We start from the raw sequence: 11,783 nt of genomic DNA on the forward strand, positions 1-11,783 counted from the left end.
CTGCTGGTTACTTATGGACATTTCTGTAGCTGGCTTGACTTTCTCCTCAGAAAATTGTTTTTTCTTTTCTGTTGAATCATCAGGCTGCAAACTTTCCAAAATTTATTACTTCCCTTTTAAATATAAGTTCTAATTCCCAACCATATCTTTGTGAATACATAAAACTGATTTTTTTTTTCGAGACATAGTCTCTCACTATCACCCAGGCTGGAGTGCAGTGTCATGATCTCAGCTCACTGCAACCTCTGCCTCCTGGGTTCAAGTGATTCTCCTGCCTCAGCCTCCCAAGTAGCTGGGACTACAGGCACATGCCAGCATGCCCAGCTACTTTTTGTATTTTTGGTAGATACAGGGTTTCACAATGTTGGCCAGGATGGTCTCGATCTCTTGACCTCATGATCCACCCACCTCGGCCTCCCAAAGTGCTGGGATTACAGTCATGAGCCACCGGTGCCTGGCAAAACAGAATGTTTCTAAGAGCACCCAAGTCACTTGTTGAATGCTTTGTTGCTTAGAAATTTCTTCCACCAGATATCCTAAATCATCTCTCTCAAATTCAAAGCTTCACTGATCTCTAGGGCAGGAGAAAAATGCTGCCAGTCTCTTTGGTAAAGCATAGCAAGAATCATCTTTGCTCCAGTTCCCAATAAGTTCCTTATCTCTATCTGAGATCACCTCAGCCTGGACTTTTTGGTCAAAACCATTCAACAAGTCTCTAGGAAGTTCCAAACTTTCCCACGTCTTCCTGTCTTCTGAGCCCTCCAAGTCTATAAGAAGTTCCAAACTTTCCTACATTTTCTTGTCTCCTTCTGTGTCCTCCAAACTGTTCCAACCTCTGTCTGTTACCCATTTTTGGGTATCTTCCACATTTTTGGGTATCTTAATAGCAGTGCCCCACTCTACTGGTGTCAATTTACTGTATTAGTCCATTTTCATACTGCTATGAAGAAATACTCAAGACTGGGTAATTTATAAAGAAAAAGAGGTTAAATGGACTCACAGTTCCACATGGCTGAGGAGGCCTCAGAATCATGGCATAAGGCAAAATAGAAGCAAAGGCACATCTTACATGGTGGCAGGCAAGAGAGCATGTGCAGGGGAACTGTCCTTTATATAACCACCAGATCTCAATAGACATATTCACTATCACAAGAACAGCATAGGAAAACCTGCCCCCATGATTCAGTTACCTCCCACAACAACATGTGGGGATTATGGGAGCTACAATTCAAGATGAGATTTGGGTGGGGACACAGCCAAACCATATCACAGAGTGTATGTATGTACTTATATAAATTTAGATAGTATAGCCTATTACATACCTAGCATTTAAGGTATAGCCTATTGCTCCTAGGCGACAAACCTGTACAGATGTTACTGTACTGAATACTATAGACAGTTGTAACATGGTAATGGTATTTGTGTATTTAAACTTATCTAAACATAGGAAAGATACAGTAAACCTATGGTATTATAATCTTATGGGACCACTGTCATATATGTGATCTGCTGTTGACCGAAATTTTATTATGTTGTAGTAGCTTTTAATACTGAAGATAGTTTCTGCCAGACACTGGAAAAGCATTGAAATATCTGGGATCTGCAGAAAGTCATAGTTTCTACAACATTCATGGAGATCTGAGCCTGTTTGAGAGGAACTCCTTGGAGAAGCAGAACATCATATGAAATGTCCATATGGATGGCTATTAAAACTAGACTATGGACATGTTGTATTAACATTTCAGTCAACAACAGGTCATATGTACGACAGTGGTCTCATAAGATTGTAATACCATATGTTTACTGTATCTTTCCTATGTTTAGACATGTTTAAATACACAAATACCATTACTGTGTTACAACTGCCTATAGTATTCAACTACAGTAATATCTGTACAGGTTTGTAGACTAGGAGCAATAGGCTATACCATAGATCCTAGGTGGGTAGTATGCTATACTATCTAGGTCTATATAAGTACACACACACTGTGATATTCACACAACAAAATTGTCTAATGATGCATCTCTATTGCCAAGAGATATGCTGAGCTCTGCCTCATATCCTAAGCATATATAGTTAAACTTCCCTTTTGAGATTTGTATATAGTCTATCTATATCCATCTTTTAGGCTAAAATGTTATAATAAAATTACATTGTACTTTAAAAAATCCCTATGTTTTTCATAAATTCTTCAAGAGCTCCTTAAATTTTATGCTAAATTTACTTATGAAAGTGGATACCAACATATTAAGTAACAATGAAAAATTTTGGACATGAGGAAGACAGACAATTTCTTTTATTTTTCTCTTTTTTTCTGTTCTATGCCTCAGTTTATATCCCTTCAAGGAAGTTAGCTTCTCTTGTCAATGAAGTGTGTGTGTGTGTGTGTGTGTGTGTGTGTGTTTAATAAGTCAATGTGAGGGTGAATTAAGCTCCATAAGGGTCCTCAGTCATCATGGAAAAAAATTGTTCTAAGACTAGGCAAGTCTTAGAACTCAACACTCTTTTTTTTTTTTTTATTATACTTTAAGTTTTAGGGTACATGTGCACATTGTGCAGGTTAGTTACATATGTATACATGTGCCATGCTGGTGCGCTGTACCCACTAACTCGTCATCTAGCATTAGGTATATCTCCCAATGCTATCCCTCCCCACTCCCCCCACCCCACAACAGTCCCCAGAGTGTGATATTCCCCTTCCTGTGTCCATGTGATCTCACTGTTCAGTTCCCACCTATGAGTGAGAATATGCGGTGTTTGGTTTTTTGTTCTTGCGATAGTTTACTGAGAATGATGATTTCCAATTGCATCCATGTCCCTACAAAGGACATGAACTCATCATTTTTATGGCTGCATAGTATTCCATGGTGTACTTAAGTAGAAATGTATGAAGAATATTTAGAATGATAATAAAAATAACTAAGAAATATTGAAGACTTATTATATGTCAAGACCGTTATATAAATTATTTCTCTGGATACTCTGACAACCTCTTTGGGAGGTGCTATTAATTATCACATGATAGCTATCTCTGCTGTTGGCTCCATTTTCTCCATGTCAAGTTTAGCATGACATTTTCCCTCAGTCACCCATAGCTAAGATGCCCATTGTCTAGTTCTCATAGGCATCAACATGGACATTTCATATGATGTTCTGCTTCTCCAAGGAGTTCCTCTCAGACTCCGATCTCCATGAATGTTGTAGAAACTCTGACTTTCTATCAGTTCTCAGATATTTATCTGCTTTTCAAGTGTATGGCTGAGACCATCTTCAGTACCATTATACAACACATTTGTATTTTCTATCTTGAAAAATCAGACATAAAATTACCCAGGATCTTAACAGTGAGGTAGTATACTCCACTTACCAAATTTATTTTTTCTCATAGAAACAGGCAATATGCTATCGATTACCCCCATGTATAAGAACTGTCTAGATTACTGAAACACAAAGTCCTGATAATTCACCAGGATTGGCATGGAGACAGGTACAGGGAGAGCAGCTTTTTCATTTTTTTGCATGAAAAGTGACCTTAGAGAAAACAGCACTCCTTTATACTCTAAGAAATAAATTTATAACTAATATTTTGGGATGAAGTGGGGTGAGATGAAAATCAAGACACGTTCGAGTGTACACTGAATTCAATGCCTCACATGAAAACAAAACACTGTCTTATTTTCCTTGTAGATGTTTCCTAATAGATAGGTTTTTGCAGTGGGCTTCAAGCAAAGAAGTGGCCACAGCTCATGTAACAGAGCTAGCGGGATGTCAAGAGTCCTTCGCAGTCTAGTAACTTTATAATTTAGTTGTTTGTAAGTTAGAAAGTATCATTTCCAAAAATTAGAATATATTAGATTCATTCCAAAAATTGTCTCTTTGTAGAAATATATCATATGAACTCAGCCCTGTGCTGCTTATGAAGATTAATGCTTATCCTCAAACTGACAGCCAATATTCCTATCATTTTCCTCTAAGTCTATCTCTCAGGGCAAATCATAAGTAAATAAATGTCAAACTTCTCTTTCACCCACAGATAACAACTATTCTGAAAATAGCATTTTGAATACTTATAATGATTTTATAAGTAAGCTTTTAAAATTTAGTAGTGAGAAACATAAAAGGCAAATCTAGTGTGTATGAGTTAGAAACAAAAGATCAGATTTTTATTTTATAGCATGCTTATACATGTAGAACATGTGCATCAGACATTAAGTTTATATTTGAGACACTTTTACTTGTACCTTTGTGATAAGAAATTTGTTTAGGAGGAGACAACACACATTGTATATTACAATGAGAAAACATCTCATCTCAAGCGATTGATTTATAAAAAGATCTTGAGCTTTGTGAAGCATCAACAAACTATACAGTATCAATCAGCTAAGAATTCTAGCCTTAGAAATAGTTCAGTTCTTCAGGGTGTAGGATAAAAATTATTGCTTATATTTTTCCTGAAGACATTTTTAAAAGATATTAACATGCATTTTATTGAGATAATACTTGAGTAAATGACAATAAGATTTTAAAATTTGAGGTTCTATTTCTGTTAAGCTGTTGGTCAATAAAATCATAGACTGAATTTTAAAGATTTATCATTCTTGACTTTGGAGTAATAAAAATTAATAAATTATGTATAAAAGAAATGTACCTTAACATTCTATAGGAAAACCATTATAAGAAAGAAGTCATTTCAATTCTACCTATGTAAGTTTTCTCTTAATACTTAATCTTTAGATAATTTTTTTGATTTTGATTAATATATATGCACAAAGGTATGATTGATGTTAAGCCAGAAATATCCAAAGTTTTCATATTCTTTTTATTTACCTAACATCTTTTTTCTATTCTGCAAATTATTTTATATTTAGTTAAAAGTCTACATTTTTTGAAAATTAATTAACAGAAGAGCAATATATCATTGATATGGCAGAAATTCTTATCTGCTTAGAATCACTGTTTATCCTTCAGATAAAACAAAAATAAAAAGCAAAAAATACCAAAGTGACAAGAAAAATATTAATTTAGGCAAAAATCTATTTACATACAATAAATGAGCATTACTTGTTTAAGCTTATGAAAGAATAAGTACTGTTTAGTGATTAGATTTAAATTTGAGGATTCTCATGTGATCCTCACGTATAGAGAACATATGCAGTCTCCTCCATACACACTTAAATAGATACACACAAATATGCATATATACATACACATTATATGCTTCATGGTCCCATCTTTGCTCTATGTCAAATTAGAAACATGAATATCTGTCTTCCAAAAACAATTGCAAATCTCCTGCAAGTTATTTTTATAGTCTCTCAAAAAAATGAAAGTGGCAAATTTTGCTCAAAATGTACTTCAAAAAATTTTCCTCTTTGCTCTTTCTCTTTCCAGTTTTTCCTCTTCTTTCAAACGACCAAGAAAGACCATAATCAAAAAATTAAAAAAAGATAGATGTTGGTGTGGATGCATTGAACAGTGAACACTTCTACACTGCTGTTGGGAATGTAAACTAGTACAACCACTATGGAAAACAGTGTGGAGATTCCTCAGAGAACTAAAAGTAGATCTACCATTGATCCAGCAATTACACTACTGGATATATATCTAGAGGAAAAGAAGTCATTATGCAAAAAAAAAAATACTTGCACACACATGTTTATAGCAGCACAATTCACATTTGCAAAAATGTGGAACCAAACCAAATGCCCATCAATCAACAAGTGGTTAAAGAAACTGTGATACAGACACACACACACACACACACACACACACACACACACACACAATGGAATACTACTCAGCCATAAAAGGAATAAATTAATGGCATTTTCAATGACCTGAATGAGATTGGAGACTATTATTCTAAGTGAAGTAACTCAGGAATGGAAAACCAAACATCGGATGTTCTCATAAGTGGGAACTAAGCTAGGGGATGCGAAGGCATAAGAATAACACAGTGGACTTTGGGGACTCAGAGGGAAAGGGTGGGAAGGGGCTGAGGGATTCAAGACTACAAATAGGGTGCAGTGTACACTGCTCAGTTGATGGGTGCACCAAAATCTCACAAATCACCACTAAAGAACTTACCTATCTAACCAAACACCATCTGTTCCCCAATAATCTATGGAAATAAGTTAAACAACAACAACAACAAAATCAAATGACCATGAGTAAAATGGGGACATAATAGGACTTATGTCATAATGTCATGAAGATTTTGGAAAAGAATAAACATCAAGTGTTTGTAACAAAGCTTGACACATGGTAAACACCTAAAACTGTTAGCAATTGATATTATTTTATGGATCAATTAAAATTTAATCCTGACTATAACAGCATGGCCTAATTTTTTTATTATGATTAAAAACAATCTGTGATTTCACAGAAAGCACTGTGGTAAGAAAATTATTCTCTTACATAGAGATAAAATTTTTTTGAAGGCTGTCCATTTTGCTATATTTTGTATGTGCTGGGGCTGAATACATTAATTACTTTATATGTCTTGTTTGGTGAAGTCTCAGCTTAATTAATGTTGCATTACCAAGGTTCAGATAGGTTCATTGAATTTTCCCTTTGCTCTTAGAAGATGAGTAATAAAGTACTTTATACAGGTAGCTCTTAACAAGAGCAAAAGGGAAAGAAGAAAAATGTAAAAATGAAGGGAGAAAAGCTGTCCCTGCACCTTGGTCTGAAGGCCTCAAGAGAGAACCATGATCTGGATTGACTCTGGGACAACACAGATTGCAGGTGGTGGCCAGTGTGGGCTCACCTCTCACTGTAGTAGCTGTTTAGCTGCTTTACCATGAAATGTGCTCCAAAACCATGGCATTCAGAAAGACTGTTACTATTACATTAGTTCGGACCTGGATAGATTTGATTATGTTCTTTCAATATTCATAAAGTAAAAGCCTTGGGCCACAGGGTAGCAAGCAAACACATTTATCAGCAACTACTTATAAACATCCGCTGTCCCCAAGTCTTCATCTTTTCAGGGATGTTGTGCAGTGAGTGTAAAGGAGTGAGGGGGCATTGAGTATTAAATATGGATGACCTTGTTTTCCTGTTTGGATGTTCACACACTTTCTTCCCGTGCAATGGAAACACATTATTATCAAATATTTAAAAACTTATATTGAAGCAACATTTATTCAGTAGCTATGCTTTTACACGTTTACCCTTTTAATTCTGATGCATTCAGTCGTCATTACTAGCAGGAAGGCATTGTTATTATCATTTAAGTGGTGTTGAAATTGAAGTTCAGGGAGGTGAAGCAACTTGCCTAAACAATCTGAGGACACTGGTCCACACTGCCCTTCAGCCTGCAAAAGAGAATCAGCACATAGAAGGTGATTACTTTATCAATAGGTTCAGTGGGCACAGAAGACATGAATAGTCTGTTTAGTAGAATCTCTTGTGTAGACTTAAGGGCTTAACTTATGATTGCTAAATAATAACTTTTGCATAATTTCAATAGAATATATGCTTCAATTCCTAAAACTTCCTTATATATTTGACTTTTTATTTATTGGAATTACTTTAGGAAAGCTCAATATTTTAAAATGACAAATGGTACTAAAATATTTAAAGTCTCCTAGAATTTGTATTTAGAAATCACTTTTTCAAGTTCTTAAAATGCTGCTTTACATTATTTATTTTAAAATAAAAGCAATACAAAATAATTTTATAAGGTTAAAAAAAACAAATAATTTGTGTGATGAACAATAAAAATTATCTTCTATTACCTCCTCCCAAATGACCCCAAATATTGCAAATGTTAGCATTTTGTTATGCATGCTTAGCAGAGTAAGAGCCAGCAGGTGGGATTTTGCTACATATTTCCTATTCTCAAGCATGCTTATTCCTCCCGATAATATTTCTAAAGAGTTGTCCATAAAAATAGCCTCCATTTATTTTATTGATTAATTATATTTAAATTTTAATTGTAGATTACACTAAAAAAATCAAGCTGATATTTATTTTTGATATTTGCAGTTTTTTGTCAATACATTAAATGCAATGATGAAAAACAGATGAGAAGACTCTTTGGAAAGTCTGGGTGAATATGTATCAGGAGAAGTGCTGGGCAAAGTATATATGCTGTTAAAATTTACAGAGCTAATGTCAAATTGCCCTCTAGAAAACCATAAAAAATGTATACTACAATCAGAAAAACATAAAAGCATCTGTTTCCAATCTACTCTGCCTTAGTCTGTTTTGCTGTTGGTATAACAGGATACCACAGACTGAGTAATTTATAAACAACAGAAACATTTGGCTCATGGTTCTGGAGGCTGGAAAGTCCAAGGCTAGGGCTTCACTTAGTGAGGGTCTTCTTGTGGTATCATCCCATGGTGAAAGGCAGAAGGGCACAAGAGTATCCACAAGAGAGCAAGAGGGGTTTGAATTTGCTTTTATAACAAACCCATTCTTCAGATAACTAATGCACTCCCCTGATAATGACATTAATCCACTCACAAGGGCAGAATCATCATAATCTAGTTATCTCTTAAAGGTCTCACCTCTCAAAACTGTTGCATTGGGGATGAAATTTTCAACACAAGATCTTTGGGAGACCTATTCAAGCCATAGCACCCTCCAACAACAAAATGTTAATAAACACTACATACACACACATATATTTTTCAACTGGAGAATTGAAAAAAAAAGATATCTGACTTTTATTTTACATTGCTTCAATTATGCAGTGGGACATTCAGATCCTTGATGGTCATTTGCTGTTGTTACTGTTTTCTCAAACTATCTTACGTTTTGTAAATTGTCTACTAATATTGTCTATTTCTTTATTGTGTATGTTTTTGTTTAATTAATAAAATTATCTTATTTTCTGCCATAGTTGCGAATTTTTCCCCAGACTTGTTCTTTGCTTGATTTATTTTTTTCATTCAGAATAATTTTTATTATTGCTTTTAAGCTTTCAATTAAAAAATAATTTTGGTTTCTAGAGTATTGATCAAACTTAGAAAAGTTTTCCTCACTTAAAGATTTTTAAAAGTGTAGTTAACGCATACTATGTTTTGATACTTTATGTGATTTTAGTGTGCTTTCTGTCTTGAAATTGGTAGCAGGTGTTCCCACGTGAAGCATGTTCAGTGATGTTTGCTAACTATTGACAGCTAGGCCACTATGCTGATGCCACAGGGTCACCTGAAGCATCTGCTGGTGTCATCTCAATATGCCCAGCAGACATATTCTTCTTATCTTTTCCCCCTTCTGCCTTTCTCACGTCTTTTTGCCCTGACTGTTTTAATGAACATCTCCAAACAAAGGCAGTGAAAGACAATATTTAGTCCCTCTAAATTCCCTATTGATTAAGAAATTGATGACACTCTTCTAAATGCCAATGATTCTCAGGACTGCTGGTTGCTATTTTTACTACTGATCGTTACTTTTTTATATCCTACTTTTAAAAAAACTTCTTGGAGAATAATGTGACTAGATAATTTACTCTCAAAATTTACTTATCAGGATGAAAGGGAGTAATAATATAATTAAAAAGCATTGACTGATCACCAGGATAAACTGGGTTTATGATCAGCCTACCATGTGTAGTTTTAACCATTGTAATTTGATCATAATGCTGGAAGCAAGAAATGAGTTAATATCTTACATTCTAACCTAGCATGGAAAGAAGACTCAAAGTAAAAGTATTATTTCTCTTTATTTTTCCTTCTGTCCCAAACTATAGTTCACTTATCTTTTCATCTTCCTTTATCTCCACATATTGGAATTCATATACTTCAGTTCCAAATACTGAGCTTACTGATTCAGCTATGGTATTTGTTTGTTGTTAAATAATACTTTGAAATTGGACTCAGCAACTCTATATTTGAAGTACTAAAGAGCCAATGGTGACCAGCTATTATACCATGAGGAAAAGCAACATGTTGAGCTAAGCTTTGTACTAGAATTAATTCAATTTTGGATTTGAAAGAGTCCAAGATTATCTTTAAGACCATTTTTTTTACATTAATGATTAAACAAACAAAACCTGAAACCAAGAGAAATATAAATGAGTTGCTAAAGATGACCTATTCAGTTATTTGCAAATTTGTATGATATTAAAAACACATAAAATGCATATAGAATCCAGGGAACAGTAACCTTCCACACATCTAGTAAAAGGATTTTGCTAAGTAGCACTAATTAATTGATGCTTTCCTCCTGTTTTCTCTATTCTCTAGTTTTGGAGCTTCTATAATTCAATTTTTGGTTCTCTAATTTCTATATTTCCCTTGTCTTTTTTTTTCTTCCTTTCCCTTCCTTTCCCCCTTGCCATTTTCCCCAAATCTCTACCATCCAGTAGATTTCCTTGACTTTACTTCCTATTTTTATTTATTTTACTAGTTTTAAGTTTTTATTTCCAAGGACTTCTTTTTTATTGTTTGAATGATTATAAATAAAAATGTTTTTTAATGTGTCATATTTTCTAAGAATATGAAAAGTTTTATTTCCAAGTTTTCTTCTTCCTCTTTTTTCTTCCATGGCATTCTGTCTTTCATTTATGAGACTTTCCTCAGATGTCTGGAAACTTTTGCTTGTGTAAGGGCAAATTCAAATTAAAACAAGAGACTTAATTCTCCCTGTTAAAAATAAGTAAAAAGACACCTCCACTCCGTTTGTATGTATTTTATAAAACTTGTAATTATAAGTTCTGTCTCTTTGAAATGTATGCAAATATTTTTAAAAGCTAAATAAGCCTCTTGCCACCTTTCTGCCTCTCTTCCAACTGTAATCATCAAGAAAGGCATCCCTATTTCCATTGGAGCTGAATTTGGGCAGACGTCCTGCTCCAAATGGCAACACTACTTCCTGTCTTGAAGACACGAGAAGCTTATTTTTCCTTTGAATAAATCATTTAGCTAACACAGATGGTCACCACAATTACCAAGTGAATTTAGGATAAACTATGTGTGACAAATGGTGCTGTCAAGTCCTCTTACTTCATGGCCAGTCATTGTTTATCCTGAGAATATGTATGCGCTGGGTCGTCTCCGATTGCCTATCTGAAAGGGTGACTATATAAAATCTATGAGCAGATTGCCACTGATGCACATCACATTCTGACTTTATTATTCAATAATAAACTTCTTTTTTCCCCCTCTCTTTTATCTTTGTGGAGAAGTTATCTGGGCTAGAAAAATATTTTGTTTTTAATTCTTTTTCCCCAACACTTCTGTGCTCCTGTGTAGGAGTGTTGGAACAGGTTACAAGCACAAGCTCTGAGTGCCTGGTGAGGCTGGAGCGTTCTGAGCTTCCTTATTTATTTATATATTTCATGGTGAGCTGCCTGTTGAGAAACAGTTGATGCCTTTTAAAAATATATTTTCTTTAAAGCATATTGTGGAAAATTTAGAATATTTCAAATTTAGGATTTGAGAATATAACTATGGGCAACACTGAAAGCTAGAAGATTCTATTAAAGATACTGTAAGCAAAACTTTTAAAAGTATGGAGGAAACTGATTTCCAACTGGAATTTTTTTGCCAGCCAAGTGAAAGTGAAAAAGGAAGATGCTTTCAGAGATTATTAAATGTCAAAAATTTACTTCCTACGTGCTCTTTCTCCCTAAACTGTTGGAGTATATGTTTTACTCAAACAAGAGTACAAACCAGAAAATGAAAAAAGGGGAGGCAAACACATGAGAGAAAGGGAGGGAATCCAAATGGTAATGATGGAGAATAATTGCTGTGCTCCAGGGCAGCTGGTCTAGATCAGATGGTTTAAGGTATCACATCAGAAACCCTTCTTCTCTCCTGAATGA

The 11,783-nt window shown here is 34.6% G+C and overlaps 1 annotated feature.

Moving 5' to 3' along the window:
- Positions 9,104–9,304: a silencer, noted in NCBI's record as "peak6699 fragment used in MPRA reporter construct". NCBI's record gives its function as "represses an SCP1 promoter by STARR-seq MPRAs in K562 erythroleukemia cells {active_cell/tissue: K562}" and the evidence as "EXISTENCE:reporter gene assay evidence [ECO:0000049][PMID:32103011]".

This window comes from Homo sapiens, chromosome 7 (genome assembly GCF_000001405.40).
Source record: "Homo sapiens chromosome 7, GRCh38.p14 Primary Assembly".
Lineage (NCBI taxonomy): Eukaryota > Metazoa > Chordata > Mammalia > Primates > Hominidae > Homo > Homo sapiens.